Source organism: Homo sapiens, chromosome 12, assembly GCF_000001405.40.
Source record: "Homo sapiens chromosome 12, GRCh38.p14 Primary Assembly".
In the NCBI taxonomy this organism is placed as follows: Eukaryota; Metazoa; Chordata; class Mammalia; order Primates; family Hominidae; genus Homo; species Homo sapiens.
This window is the reverse complement of record NC_000012.12, coordinates 13,478,981-13,497,706: the sequence shown is the minus strand read 5'-3', so window position 1 is coordinate 13,497,706 and position 18,726 is coordinate 13,478,981.

Below are 18,726 nucleotides of genomic sequence, written 5' to 3'. Positions count from 1 at the left end.
ATCACTGGAATCCAATGATCCGTAGTTCATTGGTTCTAGACACACTTTTTTTTCATATTTTACAACATCTAAAACCAGATTGTTTCTTACCAACATGGTATATTAGAACCTCAGGAGGCTGGCAGGCCTGGTGACATTGTTATCATTCTTTGTTTTGTGCAAAGTTCCTGTCAGCTATTTGTGTCATTGCTACTTCAGCTGTTTATTTGTTACTCTTTGTGCTACACTATTAAGTCTAAATGCTCTTTAAAATATCTTCACAAAGAGTACATTGTGATTTAGCTTTGAAACATAGAGGTATTGTGCATACCCAGAAAGGTACAAAAACAGTGAGGCAGAAAATTGGTAATACTGAAGTAAATGTTTGATATTGAAGGAGTAACCAGTTTTTAAAATTTTCTTATAATGCAACAACCAAGCACCTTACAAAACATAGGAAGGATGATGCCTAATAGTAGATGAAGCTTTGTTATGTCCATTCAGTGATAAATGTGCAAAAAAGACACAATAAACAAGAAAGCACCATCTTCAAAATTTGCAGAAGGATTTCAACGGTGTAGGATAAAATCCCAAAAGAAAAGTGTTCGAGAAATTCTGCATCCCAGGGCTCCTGATGGTGCAGAAGCTGAGACTGTGTGCAAAAACACAGATGTTGATAACTCTGAGTTGAAAACAATTCAAAAAGATCAAATTATTGATTTGTAGCAGTTTTAGGAACTCCTTAACCAATTTATTTGGCTTACATTTTCTTTTTAATTTATGCAGATGAGTAATAAAGGGCAGTTATGTTTGAATAAGCTAAAAGACCTCCTTTAAAAGTCTTTTAAAAATTCAATATGATAATACATTAAGTCATAATTTAATTGGCAGCATCTTTTGTGGTCCATGGAATACGATATATGTCTTAAAATTTATAGTATGCTAGATTTGATGCAATATGGTACATATTTTGTACTCTTATCACACCTATTTTGTCTCACTTATTTCTTCAATAAAGTGTTTAGATTCTTAAGCAATATCCACAGTCATTGCTCATGCATTTATATTTCACAAACACAATTAATAGCCTCAGAAATTAGCATAGAGCTGTGGTCAACTGCCTCAATACTAATTTTGGAAATTTCTATGGCTGTGAAATTGGCTTGTATGTGGAGTTCATGATGAAATCCTAGGATTTTTAACTCTTGAGTAAATAAAACATAATATTTTAATGGTAAAAAACACCCCCCCCAAAAAAAAAAAATTACACATCTTGGCTACAAGAGAGAATTGCTGCACGTTTCAAACATCAAAGGAACAGCTCCAGTATAAATAGCTCCAGTTTGCAGCATATAAGCACTGAATTCCCAGCTACTTAACAGAATCTACCAAATTTCTTCCTCCAAAAACCAGCATTTACTAGAAAACATGTCCAATGTCAGCTAGGATAATCCCATTTGATTCATCACTATGTACTTTACCTGGCACAGTGCCTGGCACTTAACAGGCAGCCAATAGTATTTTTTAATAAATGAAGGAAAATCTCCCCTGCCCAAGCAACAGGGGATTGTACACTAATCCTCAGTTCTTAGACAGTGTGGGATAGTAAAAAGAGCACGGATTTTGGAAGAAGACAGATTTGCTTTCTGGCCACTGGTTGACAGTAATAGAGCGTACTCACTGAGTTGGTGGGAAGAGTAATAGATGTAATACCTATAGATGACTGAGTATGAGGGATGGGTATACAGAATATGCTAACAAATTATAATTATTACTATTATAAAATGTGACAAGTACTCTTCCAGAAAAACAATCTAGGCAAAATGTACTTATTGCCACAGACTAAGACCAGACTCATCCACCAGAGAGGATGGTGGTCTTTACATATACTTAGGCATGGTTTGGTTCTCATGGCTCAGGGACTGGGAAGAGGGAGCTTGTAGGGCTCAAAGTCAAGGCAGCTAGAAAAAGACAGTCACATACTTAGTGGTATAACTAAAGATATAGATAATTCTGAAGACTTATGCTGGCCAATATGGTAAGTCTCTAGCAATTTGTGCCTAATGAAATTAAAATTTTATATTCAGTTCCTCAGCCAAACTAGCCATATTTCTAGTGCTAGTGACCACATGCAGCTAGTGACCATCATACTGGGCAGTGCAGCTATAGAACATTTTCATCATTGCAGACTTTCTATTGGGCAGCATTGCTTCAGACAATAGTCTCTAAAAAGGCTTGTTACCCATGGAAATTGTTACAGAGCATTCATAAAAAATGTTTGTAGAATTTCCTGATTCCATCATCTCTGGGGAAGTAGTTCTAGCCTCTAAGTAACACTATTTGGCAGTAAGAGGCAGCGCAATGTGGTGAAAAGAGCACTACTGGGGACAGAAAATCCGGGTTTTAGTTCTGGCTCTAACTTGAACAATAACCTGGGCAATTTGCATATGCCCAAGTCACTCTATTTCTTCCTTCCTCAGTTCCCTCATCTTTAAGTGCATGAATTGAGCTAGATATATCTAAGTCACTGCCAGCTCTTATGCTTGGTAATTTCAATACACAACTGCTGGCTCCATGCTATCTGTCATTTTGCAGCTCCGCCTGCACAGCTCCGACACTGTAAAGGAAGACAGTCATGGCAAAGTATCAACAACCTGGATTGGAAAAATCAATATTGTTAAAATATTTATACTACCTAAAGCAGTTTACAGATTCAATGCAATCCCCATCAAAATACCAATGACATTCTTCACTGAAATAGAAAAAGTAATCCTAAAATTTACATGGAACCACAAAAGACTCAAAATAGCCAAAGCTATCTTAAGCAAGAAGAACAAAACTGGAGGAATCACATTACCTGACTTCAAATTATGCTACAGAGCTATAGTAACCAAAACAGCATTGTACTAGCATAAAAACAGACACATAGACCAATGGAACAGAATAGAGAACCCAGAAACAAATCCACACACCTACAGTGAACTCATTGAACTCATTTTTGACAAAGGTGCCAAGAACATACACTGGGGAAAAAACAATCTCTTCAATAAATGATGCTGGAAAAACTGGAAATCCATATGCAAAAAAGTGAAACTAGACCCCTATCTCTTGCCATATATAAAAATCAAGTTAAAATGGATTAAAGACTTAAATCTAAGACCTCAAACTATGAAACTACTGCAAGAAAATGTTGGGGAAAATCTCCAGGACATGGTCTGGGCAAAGACTTCTTGAGCAATTCCCCACAAGCACAGGCAACCAAAGCAAACATGGACAAATGGGATCACATCATGTTAAAAAGCTTCTGCACAGAGAAGAATACAATCAAGAAAGTGAAGAGACAACCCACAGAATGGGACAAAATATTTGCAAACTACCCTTCTGACAAGGGATTAATGAGCAGAATATATAAGGAGCTCAAACAACTATACAGGAAAAAATCTGATAATCTGACCAAAAAATGGGCAAAAGATTTGACTAGACATTTCTCAAAAGAAGACATACAAATGGCAAACAAGCATGTGAAAAGATGCTCAATATCATTTACCATCAGAGAAATACAAATCAAAACTACGATGAGATATCATCTCATCCCAGTTAAAATGGCTTACATCCAAAATGACAGTGAGAATATAGAGAAAAGGGAACCTTTGTATACCGTTGGTGGAAATGTAAGCTAGTACAATCACTATGGAGAACAGTTTGGAGGTTCCTCAAAAAACTAAAAGTAGAGTTACCATGTGATCTAGCAATCCCACTGCTGAGTACCCAGTTTGTTGTGTACCTGTTTGTTGTAGCACTGTTTACAATAGCTAAGATTTAGAAGCAACCTAAGTGTCCATCAACAGATGAATGGATAAAGAAAATGTGGTACATATACACAGTGGAGTACTATTTAGCCATAAAAAAGAATGAGATCTAGTCATTTGCAACAACATGGATGGAACTAGAAATCCTTATGTTAAGTAAAATAAGCCAAGCACAGAAAGACAGACATTACATGTTCTCACATATTTGTGGGATCTAAAAATCAAATAAATTGAACTCATGAACATAGAAAGTAGAAGGATGGTTTCCAGAGTCTGGAAAGGGTAGTGGAGGGATTGGGGCAAAGAGAGAGTTGGGGATGGTTAATGGGCACAAAAAAAAATACAAAGAATGAATAAGACCTACTATTTGATTGCACAATAGGGTGACTATAGTCAATAACAACTTAATTGTATATTTAAAAATAACTTAGAAAATGTAATTGGATTGTTTATAACTCAAACAATAAATGCTTGAGGGTATGAATGCTTCATTCTTCATGACGTGCTTATTTCACATAGTGTGCCTGTATTAAAACATCTCATGTACCCCATAAATATATATATTTATGTACCCACAAAAGTTTCTTTTAAATTTTTTTTTAAAGTATCAACAGCAAGCAGTGACTTTGTTCTATCATGATGTACTCTAGCAAGCTCAGAAATCTCTACCATCAACCCCTCCTGGGTGATCCCATGTATTTTTCACCTATCTCCCTTGGTTCTTACTTCACTGCACTTAATTATCACTCTGTAGATTATGAGTTTAAGGTGGACACCTGGTTTTTCTAACTCAAAATGTTTGTGGATGTCTAAATAAAGATGGATCAATTCTTGACCTGCTTGTGTGCCTTCATGAATAAAGTATCCTGTAATGGATCCCAGAACTTAACTTGCTTAATGTAGGTAGAAGATCTGGAATCCAGGATCAAGTTAAGCTGACTTTGAAACACATCTTCTCTTCACTCTTCCAGATTGCTTTGTTGAAATTCCTGTGCTATTGTGATGTCAATTATCTGTTTTCTTTCTGGTTGCTGATTCTAAGAACTTTAGGCCTGACATTTTGTCTGGTCTTTCTTTTTCTTTAAATTCCTTAGATGCGTTGCTTGCTGAACTCAGACTGTCACGTTCTACATTCATATTCCAGATGTCTTTTAAACCCCAAGTCCAACCTAATCCCCAAAATGACTACTGAGGCCAAACCATTTAAAATCTGTGGCTTTAGTAAGAATATAATCGTTGTTCCCATGTGCCTTGGTATATATGCATTTCTCCTTCTTCCTGCCATTTCCAAAGTTTATAGTCAGAGTCAAAGGCCTTCTGCTTACAAAAGAAATGTGTCTACTCTTTTCCCCTGAGAGATGAGAGAATGGGCAGCTCTAAGAAATGAAAAGAAAATTTAAGGGCATATATGGCAGGAGAAGGGCTCTGACCCACTACTGCTTCATTCTCTATGACTTTCCCATTTCTGGGATCCTTTTTAGGCATTTGAGTTTGTGTAACGTGTCTGCTTTCAGCACGCCAGAAATCCAGGTGCATCTTAATACTCTACTGCTTACATACCTCTCATGGTGTGTGGGACAAATTTCCTAAATTCTTTCCTAAAATCAGGAGCAACAGAGTCTGGCTACTTTAAAAGAAATTCTTAGGGGAAAAGAATTATAAACAGAAAATGGTACTTTTTGAATTAATATAAATTTGTTATATTTCTATACTTGTGAGAAATGGTTCTTTGTTTCAGCTAACATCTAAATACACATGAGCTGCACTGGCATAGCCTCAGGGCGCCTCAGTTTCATGAGGTTTGTTTGGGCCAGATGGTAAAAATAATCAAACCCAAGGCGATTCAGATTGGCACAGCTTCCATACCAGGTGGGCCCCTCATGCTTCTCTGACTGTCTGCACCATCTCAGCAACGTGCTACCTTTTTACTCCACCACTGGTCTGCCTTCCGTATTCAATCAATAGCCACAAAGATTCCATCCTAACAGCACTAACCTCACAATGTCTTCCTCACACCTTTTCCCATCTACAGCTCTCTAGTCATGCTTGTGATGTGATCTCCCTGTGCCATTAGACTGAAGAATTTTCCCAGTTGATCATTTAAGCTGTTGTCCTTCAGCATCACTGATTATTTTAAGCCAGCCTTTCTCTTTTAGTCTCTTCTCTCCCCATTTTCCTGTCTCTTCCCTCTAAAAGTTCTATCAGTGCCCAGTGCTTCAATGCCCAGCGCTATCTTTCCTTGTAAAGCTTTCTTCAGTACTGAAGGTCACTCTGAAACTAAAGTTTCATTCCTGCTTCAAAGACCCTTTGGGAATCTTTAAATATGTTTCTTTTTTATTGAATAAGAGTTTCCTCTAGTTTTTATTTTCAGAGTAGAGAAGCCTAAACTACCATGTGCATAGAGTCTAATCAGACCTTCCTAGGAACCAGGATTTCTTTGATGCCTTATCCAGGGGTGCTCTTGCAGAATATCCCACCAAAGGAGGAAGTTCACTAGGAAAATCCCTGTTCACTCTACAGGTGGCATTTCTCATCATTTACTGAACTATGATCATTTGGGATTTAAAACAGAACTTCATGGCCCTCCCCTGAGGATTAATATTTAACTTATAAAGTATTTACTGAGCAACTATACACCTTGGTACTGTAAAGAACTACAAGAATAACTAATACTGCTATTTGCCTTAAGAGGGTTTATTGTCTAATCGGAGAGGTAAAACATATACAGAAATAACTGCATTATGCAATAGAAAGTAGTAAGTACTATAAATGAGACACAATTTGCTAAGGGACCCCAGAAGAGTGGGAGTGCCTGTCCACTTGTAGGAGTCAGGAAAGTTTGACCATTTGAACCTGTGCTTTAAAGTGGCTAGATTTCAACATGATGTAATCAGGGCAAAGACACTCCATACAAATGTAACATCCCAAGTCAAGACATGATCATCTGAGGGTCACTGTGAGCCTTTACACTGGGCCGGAACATACGTGTAGTGAGAAAGTGGGAAGAGGACATTGAGGGCAGAGCTCAGAGTTTCTTGAAATTCAGACATTTGGGTTTTCTGTTTCTGGGTAATGATGAACAGCTGATGGCTTTTGATTAGGGGATAATCTGGCCTGTGATTTAAGATTACCCTGGCAAGAGTATATAAAGAGAATTAGAGGAGGAAGAGACTGTGTGTATTGGTCAAATTGAACCAAATAACAAAACAAACGAAACTCAAATCTCAGGGACTTAAACAAGCATAGTTTACTTCTCACCCCCATACACATCCATCCACATCATATTGGCAGGTACATCATTGGCACAGGCTCCACCATAGGAGAAAGAGGTCTGGAGACACAGTTCACTTCTGCTCATGTGCCATTGGCCAGAGCAAGGTGTGTCCATGCCTTGCCTTACTTCAAGGAGGCCAGAAGTACAGGGAAGCATGATTCTGCTGAATGGTATTAATGTTTCCCACTCTCAGGGAGAAGGAGGTAAGTCAGGAGCCTGATACCACTGTCCAAGATGGAAGTAATGGGAGCCTGGATTAGAATGGTGACAGACGGGGGTGGGTGGAAAAAGGAAGGAAAGAAAATAACTGAGAAGGTCAATGGGATTTGCAAGCATAGAGCCAAGAGGGAAAATCACTGGAGCTAGTGGTGAGTTTTTCAATGTGTTGGTTACAGGTTCTAGACAAAGAATAAGAAAGTGTGAAAACTGCCCTAGGAGCCTCTGTATTTCTCACCAAAGAGAATAGGAACCTTTTTTTTTTTTTTTTTATCAGAAAAGTGTTTATTTTATGTATTCACCAAAGGCCAATGAAGCTTTCAACAATTTCACTCAGGAGCAAAACAATTTAATTTTGGGGTACCAAAGGTCATAATCAAACATAAGTTTACAATGGGAAAGAATAATACTTTGCCCAGAAATACAGATACTACTCAACTTACACTGGGGTCACATCCTGATAAACCCATCATAAGTTGGAAATACTGTTAAGTTAAAAATGCATTCAATACACCTAACCTACCAAACGTAACTTAGCCTAGCCTACCTTAAATGTGCCCAGAACACTTACATTAGCCTGCAGATGTGCAAAATCATTCAACACAAAGCCTATTTTATAATAAAGTGTTGAATATCTCATGTAATTTATTGAATACTCTACTGAAAGTATAAAAACAATGTTTGCATGGGTACTCACCATTAATGTCCACAGCCAAAAGTACATGGGGCCTGGAGAAGCATTGAACTAAAGTTAATTGCTGATTGATGGGGATGCTGCAGAAATAGGGTCATCAATTTCTCTGTCTTCTGATGAGGCTCAAGAATAGAAGGCAATGAGGCATTGACACTTATTGATGGTTTAGTAGGCATAGCGTTTTTTGGGAAGATATGGAGTATAGGCTGTTTACCCTAGTGATCGCCTGGCTGACTGGGAGCTGCAGTTCACTGCCACTGCCCCTGCCCCTGCCCAGCATAGCAAGAGAATATTGAACCACATATTGCTAGCCCAGGAGAAGATCAAAACTCAAAATCCAAAGTACACTTTCTACTGAATGCATGTTGCTTTTGAACCATAATAAAGTCGAAAAATCATAAGTTGAACCATCATAAGTTAGGGACCATCCGTAGTCCTATACTTTCAGCTCCTGACTGTCTTTACTAACAGAGGGATGTAATAGTTACCAAACAGATTTAATATTCTTAAAATTGTATTTCAATTAATAAAGAGCAGCTGATATTGTAGGGCCAGAATAACCATACTGCCTACCCAGTAATAAAGGGAATTGTAAGGGGCCAACTCAAGAAGTACTGAAAAGTTCACAGGTATATGTATTTTGTTTTTTGGTTTGTTTGTTTGCTTGTTTTTGTTTTTGTTTTTTGAGACAGTGTCTCACTCTATTACCCAGGCTGGAGTGCAGTGACATGATCTCAGCTCACTGCAACCTCCACCTCCTGGGTTTAAGCCTCAGCCTCCCGAGTAGCTAAGACTACAGGTGGACACCACCATGCCCAGCTAATTTTTTGTATTTTTTAGTAGAGACGGGGTTTTGCCATGTTGACCAGGCTGATATCTGTACTTTGGCTTTACATTTCATGCTGAGATTATGCCACTTCTACAACTAATGCTGAGTATCATCCCAGGATAAATGATTAATAGATTTTGGTATGTTGGGGTTTTTTAATACCTCTCCTAAATTGAATATGAATTTGGATGGGGTTCAAGATATGCTTAAAGTAAACAACAAAAACAATGAAAAGTTGTCATAACCTATTTGGATAAGATAGCATCATCTAGGCAATATTTTCCATGAGAACTCCCATAACCTCCTAGTGAGCAGTCAAGTATGAATACCATTATGAGATTGATCCCTTTTCCTTTTGTTTCCCTGGGATTTCTGAACTAAATCCAAATTTCCAGGCTATATGTCTTAGTTTGTTCAGGCTGCTATAACACAGAGACCAAAAATTGGGTGGTTTATGAACAGCAAATATGTATTTCTCACAGTTCAGAAGACTGGAAAGTCCAAGATCAAGACACTGGCAGATCTGGTGTCTGGAGAGGGCCCATTTATTGTGACCTCACATGGTGGAAGGAACTAGCTATCTCTCTGCTACCTCTCTACTGTCTCTTCCATAAAGGTACTAATCCTACTCATAGGGGCTCTGCTCTTGTGACCTGCTCATCTCCAAAAGTCCCCACCTCTTAGTACTATCACCTTGGGGATTAGGTTTCAGCATATGAATTTTGGGGGAACACAAACAGATCACAGCATTACACAAAAGTGGATGCGGTCAATGATGCTATTTTCTGGGAAAAAACTTCACTGCATGTGTTACTAGTCACTTTACGTAGAGCTCTCTTCTAACTCACCTGGCTTCAGGTATGACCTTTAGTTCCAGGACGTTCTTCTCTATGGGTCATACCCGGGGGGAATGGAGCCCAAGAAATAAGCTGTGTTCTTAGAAAAATGGAAGCCACCACTCCTGCCACCCACCTTTCCAGACTTAGCAAGTAGGACATTTGCCTCATCGTGTAGCTAAATGGCCTACATCCTCCACCCCCAGCTTATGCCGTGAGGGAGTCTCCTTTAAGTGCTCCTATTCCAAATAGAAGGCCTCCTGGAAAGCTGCCTAGCTACACAATCAGGTTGTGTGTGGGCCGTGGGCCTTGACCTTTTCTATGTCTTCACCTGAACAGAGCTGCCAATAAGAATCAGAGACAAACACTACCTTTAATTGCCCTTTCTCAGGGGCTGCTTTTTCCCTAGTGACAGACACTGCTGAGGCGTTTTTGAGCTGGGTCCAGCAGACCCAGAAAATACGGCAAATGAGAAAGCCAGATTTTCTGGCAGGAAAAAGGTAACCAGCTTTCATGCTCAATGAGGGGCCGATCACAAATGAAGTCCAAGTGCATCGTGCCATAGCTGAGAAAACGCCAAGCTGGTTGGAACCCATGGCCCGCTTTCTAGAACATCAACAAAGATAGAAGTACTGTTAGAGTGCCCTCAGCCTTCGTCATCAAGGCTAACCTAAGCAGAGAGGTCCTCCAACTCAGGCTAAGGTGGGCAGGGACTCAAGGAGTCAACAGGTAAGGGACAAGGACACATTCAAGAAGAGAAAGGCTCATATATACGTTGTCAGCTTATAAATGCACCTGCTATCACCAAGGCAAAACAAGCAGAACAGTCCCTGCTCCAATCACTTTCTGCCTCATCTGCCATTTTGTCACTTCAGAGCCTTTTACAGCCTATCCTTCATGGTCATGTGTATCTTACTGTTATCAACATAGAAATATTGGTTACTAGGGATGAATATTCAGGATAATGTGTCCAGGGTCCAGGACCACTCCAGAAAGACTGGCTGCACATCTGCTAGAGTTGGTGACATGAGAGAAGTAGACTGAAACACATTACCCAACTCGCCAGTTCAAAGTCACTTCACCTCTTTGTGGCAATATTTGCCCATAAGGGCAGTCACTCTTAGTTGCTGAGAGGTCTCTGCAAAATTATTGTGGCCCCACGGAGATATCGGCTAGATGTTTGGGCATTGTTTTGGTGCTCCATGAACCAGCTTGGGGTTGGCAAGTCTGAGAAGTATTTTGAAAATGTGTGTGTATGAGCTGTAGAGGCTGGCAACAGTGCCCAGAAGGTCTATTTCTTTAAATAGCTTCTTCATATTTTAACCCTATTAAGAAAACTTCTCCTTTAAAAATTATTGAATTCAAATCTATCAATTTCTTGCAGCTCCTTATCAATAACTTTAATCCAGTAGTTTTCCTAGTAGTTAAAAGAAGTTTTTATTGGGATTGGCAGGTTTGGCCTAGTAGGACATGGCTAGGCAGATTATCTGAAGATATCCAAAGCCACAAGACAGTACCGAGTACTGGTGTTGGGTTGTCGAGGGGAGAAAAGGAAATTACCAATGTCAGACTTTGCCTGCTTTTCAGTTTCATCTAGTTTAAATTCTGATGCTGCTATGGGATTGTAGCCCCCTATTTTGCTGTTTGTTTATAACCCCTACAAATATTGTTTGGTCTACCAGGAAGAAGTATTATAGCTCTTGCCTCTCAAAAATGCTACCAGAAGCTTTGCAGTATTTTTCTACAAGCTTCATAAAGGGCACTTTGTTATATGAGATATCCATGCCCTAGTGACTAAAGCATGTATCAGTCAAGAATCATAACTTTGGAAATAACCATAACTAAGTGACTGCATTTCTGGTAGGAGCCACTCAGAATATTCCAAGTCTTCTTGTAGAATATTTTGTCTGCTGCCTTCAATGACCCTCTGAAGACTTTTCTTCCCTTGATCATCAGAGATGCCAGACATGCTAAGCCATGTACACTGTAGGGAATCAGGGCATCTCTTAACCTTGGATGGAAGAAAATATTTCTGAGGTACCTGTTTCTTGGGATGGACTTCTCTTATTCTATCCTTGAAACTCTCTGTTAGCAAAGTACCAAAGTTAGGTGCATTGACGTAGGGACTCATCTTTTTCCCATTTTTCAGATGAGGAAACAGAGGAACAAGGAGGTCAAATAACTTGCCTGAGGTCATGCAGCTAGAAGGCTGTCAAGCCAGAATTTGAATTGGGCAGATTAACTCCTGAACGCATGCCCTCAGCTACAGTGTTACCTCCCTCCCACAGTGCCAGGTTTGACTTTGACAGTGTTGAAGCCCATTTTTCCAAGTCATCTAAATGTCCAGAATATTTGCACCAGCACTCTCTGAACAACTTTGCTGAAATTATTTTCTGTTTACTTTCCCTCAGCCCTAGGCCACAATGCCTTCACTTACTACAGCTTCATAATCTATTAAGATGATTGTATCTGGTTTCCTGAAAACCAAATTCTCTACTCACCAGCACAGGCAGGGACACACATTGTGTCCTCCACATTTATGCAAACAAGACACAAGTCAAGCAGTGTATTTTTAAAAGAAAAACTTGAGAGATACCATGAAATAAGTTCAGACAGAACTCCATCCTTACAGCCCCACCACTTATCTCCATCTATGTTAATATGCCACTGAGTCAATGAAAAATTGGAATAACAACCGTAACACATTTTGAAAAGCTAAAAGGAACATTCCAGTAAATGATGGTCTTGTTACCTATATTGCTACTATTATAAAGGACTTATATTTGGCATAGTTTTATAATAAGTAGTTTCAAAATAATCTTTTTCATTTCAAAACTGGCAATCCCTTGTGTGTATGGTAACTATTGATCAGAATATTAAATTATAATAATACATTTAAGTGGTAACACTAACAGAGAATTTTATATAACTTGATAATATCTTTCATAATTGGTGACTATAAGATAGTATTCAGAGTAAAAGTATGTGAATTTTACTGACCAGGGTCAGTGTGAAAGAGAGGTTGAAAGCCAAACTTTTGGCCAGGCACGGTGGCTCACGTCTGTAATCCCAGCACATTGGGAGGCCAAGGTGGGTGGATCATTTGAGGTCAGGAGTTCAAGACCAGCCTGGCCAATATGGTGAAACCCCACCTCTACTAAAAATACAAAAATCAGCCAGGTGTGGTGGTGGGCACCTGTAGTCCCAGCTACTTGGGAGGCTGAGACAGGAGAATTGCTTGAACCCAGGAGGTGGAGGTTGCAGTGAGCCAAGATCCCGCCATTACACTCCAGCCTGGGTAACAGAGCAAGACTCTCTCTCAAAAAAAAAAAAAAGCCAAACTTTGGGGTGAGGCAGATGGTTCTATTATCCTGGCTCATGTCTACTTACTGTTTGACACTGGCATGCTGCTTAATCTCTCTGAGCCTGTTTCCTAATCTGCAATATAGTGCCTACCTCATAAAGTTTTGTGAGAATTAAATGAGGCTACCACATTTAGCACAATGCCTGGCACACGTATAAATATCCAGTATAAATATCCAAGCACGAGACATTATTATTTTAAGAATAGTAAAGAGAAATATTTTCCTTTGGGCCACACACTCATATTTGATATCTTTGCTGGAATATTTAATTCAGTATACCTAAGAATATAAATTATACTGAAATGATGTGTCCTAATATTTTCTCTGTAGCCTCACAAGCAAATTTCCTCCAACTTGTTATCTTGAAAAATTTCAAACCTACAAAATAATTGAGAGAATATTACAGTGAAGATGCATTTCTGTTTCACTGATTCACCAATTAACATTTTGCCACATGCAATTGCTTTCTCCAAGCCCCTACCTTTCTCTCCACCTTCACCAAATCATTTGAAAGTAAACTACAGACATCATGACAATTTGCCCCAAATACTTCAGCAGATGTCTCCTAAGAGCACCATAATTGTCAAGAAAGTTAACATTCATACAAGAATATTTTCTAATTTACAGCTCAATTTTCTCAATTCTCCCTATAATGTCTTATGTGGCTTTTCTCATTTGATCCATAATCCAATCAAAGCCTATGCACTTTATTTAGTTAATATGTCTCCGTAATCTCTTTTAGTCTTGAGCAGTCCCTGTTTAAAAAAAAAACAAAAAACACAACACTGAAATTTTCAAGGGTCAGGCCAATTATTTTGTAGATAGTCCTATAATTTAGATTTGTCTGATTGTTTTCTCATGATTACATTGAGATTAAAGATTTTTTGCCAAGAATACTACGCAGGTGATATTGTGACCTTCTTAGTACATCAAATCAGAAGACACAGAATGTCAGTTTTCCCATTATTGGTGATGCTGAATGTGTTCAATTGACTAAGGAAGTGACCTCCAGATTTCTACATTGCAATGTGTCACATGGTTTCTTTGTAATTAATACATAACCTGTGGGGTGATTCTCTGAGGCTGTGTATCCTGTTCCTATGTTTCACTCAGTGGTTTTAATATCCATAGATGATACTTGCCTAAATTATTTGAGTGATTATCAAATGGGTTACATTATATCATTCCTCTATATCTGTTAGCTGGCATTCTTTCTTAAGAAGAGCCCACTCCCCACCTTTTTATAGTACTATTATGGACTCAGGGATTATTTGTTTTATTAAGCATGTTATTATAATCCATTGTCATTATTATTCTTCTTCTTGATACTCAAATTTTACCAAATTTTGGGGATTGTGGCCCTAAGTTGCCTCTTACGTTCTTTGAACATATTTCCATCAGTTTTTAGGCACTTCCTTGCTTTCTGGAATCGATATTCCAGAATCACTTTGAACTTTCCATGCCCCAGATCTAAAATCAATCACCATTATTCCATGGTGCCCTGGTTTCTTCCTGCAACAAGTGTTTTGTCTTACAAGTACTCAGGACTAGTGAATAAAAATTTATCTGTGTGTATGTGTATAATAATCTAGACAAAAGAAAGTTTTTTTTGGCCATTACATTCTGAGAATTGGACTTCACACTAGGATCTCTCTGTTGGGTTGTATTTTTTGTTTAGTGGCATATATCTAGGGGAATGTAGAACGAGGTCAATGGCAAGATCTTTTTAGCTGATCAGATACAATAATTTGAAACATCACTTGGTGGGCTTTGCCTCAACGGCAAATCAAAGCCTTGAGGCCAAAATAGGACTGGGTGCAGTGGCCCATTGTAAGCCCAGCACTTTGGGAGGCTGATGCAGGCAGATCACTTGAGGCCAGGAGTTCAAGACCAGCCTAGGCAACATGGCAAAACCCTGTCTCTACTAAAAATGCAGAAATTAGCCAGCAAGGTGGCACGTGCCTTTAATCCCAGCTATTCGGGAGGCTAAGGCAGGAGAATCGCTTGAACACAGGAGGCAGAGGTTGCAGTGAGCCAAGATACATTGTGCCACTGCACTCTAGCCTGGGTGAGAGAACAAAACCCTGTCTCAAAAAAAAAAAAAAAAAAAAAAAAAGCCTCAAGCCCCAAATTGCTATATGCTGTGTGTATGTGTGCATTATATATATTCTTAATCATATGTGTATATAATCAAATATATATACAAAAATCACTTAATATGGAAACTGAGAATCCTTCCAGGCACTCTCACTCTTTTAAATTCCAACCAAAGTCCAAGGCCAAGAGAAGCAGAGCTTCTTCTTTAGGGGGTCTTCCTGTCTCAGTAACCCATCCAAGGCTTTGTGGAACACCACTTCCAGAGTCCAAGTCACTCTGCTTTCCATCTTGCCAGCTCAGCTAAATGTCTTTCTGTCACCTCCCAGATATTTGCTTTGGGCATCTTCTTTTGGGTTCTTAATGCTCACTTGATTTCCCTGCAGTAGGCAACTGGCATCCAGCCTATGCTTAATCTTAGAGGACGGCTGGGGGTAAACGTTCTTCTATCTGGTCCAGTAGTGAAGCTTCTTTTCCCCTTCTCTCCCTGAGGCTAGAAGCAGATCTCCTCTGTCTCATAGGATCTTCATCACTATTTGTCAATATTATTCTCAGCTAACATTTTTCTCTACATGTATAACTGAGATTTTTTTTTATCTTTGGAGAGTATTTCATCATTCAGTAAGTTTAGATTAAAATTATTAGCTCTCAAGTCTCTAGTATGTGTTTTAGCTGACTATGGAATTTATATGCAGCATTGAACTCTAGCATCCCTAATGACCTTAGTCATTTCCAAAAAAATTATACCTGCTATTTCTGTCACCCTTTTTTGGGACTTGTATGGCCTTCTGTTTACAGTGATAATAGATTTGCATAATTTAAAATAAATAGTTTCCTGGTCTTTTCCATCTATAACTAATTCTTATTTTTCTCTGGAATGTCACCAGATGAATTTGTGGGGACTCAGAACAGCATTCAGCACAGACCCTTATAGTCCTACTGAGCCTTGGAAATCTGTCTTAAGACTTAAGGCTGCCCATGTGCCATGTATCAGGCCTCTTTTCAGAAATCTGGGGAAGGTCCCCTCAACTCCCATGAGATTTTTCTGCTTCCATCTGTCAGTGGGCACACAGCTCTATCATTGCACATTCCTCATTTCACCAATCAGTAAATCAGCCTGGGATTCTTTGTTTCAAAAAATAAGACAAGTTACCTTAGGAAACCACCAAGCACCTCACCTGCCCCAGCTGCCTCCTGAGGCTTGACAATTAAAGTTCTCAGGTGGTGTTAGCAGAAAGTGTCCCAATGTGACCCTTGAATTACAGGCTGTGGAGTCTTTCCCTGTGAATTGAAATGTGTGGTTGGGAACACAGTATGACTTGGTAAGGTACTGAATTAGCAATGTGCAGGCTCCATGACAAAGGTATGGCTTCCTGAAAGCAAGGTCTCATTAGATTTGTCGTGAATGCGAGGGCGTTCCACGGTGTGTATGCATGCACTGCCACAAAAGGCAGGGATACACATTATTTAAGGTCTAAACAGTCTTAGTGGAAGGAACTATGTATGGATCTGGCTACTGCAAAGAACAAACCAGTAAACAGATATGGAGTGGCCATTGGCTTGGTGACATGCTAGGCAGCATCACCACACCGTGCAGGAAAGAGCAGAGCAGGTAAACAAAAGAGTCCCGCTTATAGACTTGTATTCTCACACAACTTGGCAGAATTAACATAAGAGAGAGGAACCTCAAATTTCTGAGGGGATTTTCTGGGGGTGAGAACGAGTCTGGAAAAATAGACCTAGGTTAGGGATTGCACGAAGATCACCCTCCTACCCAGTAGTGGGGGTCGCCAGAGGATGGACTCCTGGGTGGAATAGGCACAGGCATGGTGCCTGTCAAAGAGAAGGAATGATAGTTGACAGAATGCCTTACACACTTATGCCTGAGGTTGCAATCAGACCTTGGAAATGACCTTGAACGGTAGGCTATAAATAATTCCCACATGCTTAGCATTCCAATAATGGAACACTAGGCATAAATGGGTTAAAACTCAGATAAAAAATGCGTTGAGGCCTACTGAGTGACTGGCTTTGCCCAGTGATGATGTAGAGTCAGCTTGTGGGGTGAGGGGATAATATGGTTAGGCTTTGTGTCCCCACCCAAATCTCATCTTGAATTATAATCCCCATAATCCCCACGTGTCAAGAGAGAGGCCAGGTGGGAGGTAATTGGATCATGGGAGCAGTTTCCCTACTGCTGTTCTTTTTATAGTGAGTGAGTTCTCAGGAGATCTGATGGTTTTATAAGGGGCTCTTTCCCCTTCACTCGGCACTTCTGTGAAGAAGGTGCCTTGCTTCCCCTTCGCCTTCCACCATGACTGTAAGTTTCCTGAGGCCTCCCCAGCCATGCTGAACTGTGAGTCTATTAAACCTCTTTCTTTTATAAATGACCCAGTCTCAGGCAGTTCTTTATAGCAGTATGAAAATGGACTAATACAGGGGGCCACTGGAGACTTAAGCTACATCAAATCACTTTACAAAATCCTTCCCCCTCAGCATCTTCCACTGTCTGTAGAGGAACCTGGGATGAATGATTTGTTGAGGCAAAGAACTCCCACTTTTCTTATGGAAAAAGGTTACAGATTTTTTAAATGAAAGGATGATTATGTTTTATTAACTAAAACATGAGAACTGGATGTATATAATAAATAAAATGGAACCAAAGAGCATATATATAATTGGGTAAGTGTGAATCCCGCACAGGCACAGTGTATTCTGGTTCTTCTTATGCTCTGCTCTCTATGATAATTGGTCTGTCTTCAATTTCCAAGGCTAAGACAAATTAGGCTCCGATGTGGCTGTGAAAGCCTCGGAGAGGAGGCACTCTGCAGCCTCGGGTTTGTGGTCTGTTCTTTCCAGAATTCATCCTGTGTTTCATAATAGGTAATATGTCTCTCCTGAATGTGACTACTCTTTCTGAATGTGAAAATTTCTGTGATTATACACATAACATTTATAATGACAAATATACTGATAAGAGCCCCTTTTGGCTGATGACTGTAAAGAGTGAATACACTGTAATTACAATATAAAGTGGCATTATGGAAATTTCATAATATTGGCTAGAATCCATTTCCAGATGCTGATGCACCTATGTCCCCTCAACCGTTTCAAGTAAAGGTTACTGCTCTACATTGCACCCTGGGATCAAGCCCATTTCCCTTGAACAACATGGTAAGGGGAGGGGTTGCAGCCAGTACCACTGCAGATCACGTATAAGGCACAGGGCTCTGATGATTCGGAATCCAAAGCCCAGCTTGGCTCTTGCCCTGCTGAGGAATCAGCGAATCTGCCTGCTAGAAAGCCAGCTTTGTGTACCCCACTACCAGACTGAGACTGTGCACTCCCAGAGAGTGAGGACAGCACCCATCTCGTTCACATGTGTAACTGGCTTACAAGGCTGACAAACAGCTTCTCTATGAATGCTTGCTGAATACCTTTTGAGTGCAAGTGAATGAAGAGATGACTGATCTGGGATGCCACAAGAAGGGGCTGCCCTGAGTAGATTGTAGCACATGACCCTTGACACCACCACCTCCCATTTACACATGGTCCCCTCTCCTGGCTCTAGAACTCACAGGGCATAATGTATGTTTAAGAACCTTGGGCCATTTCTCAGTTGACAGTCGA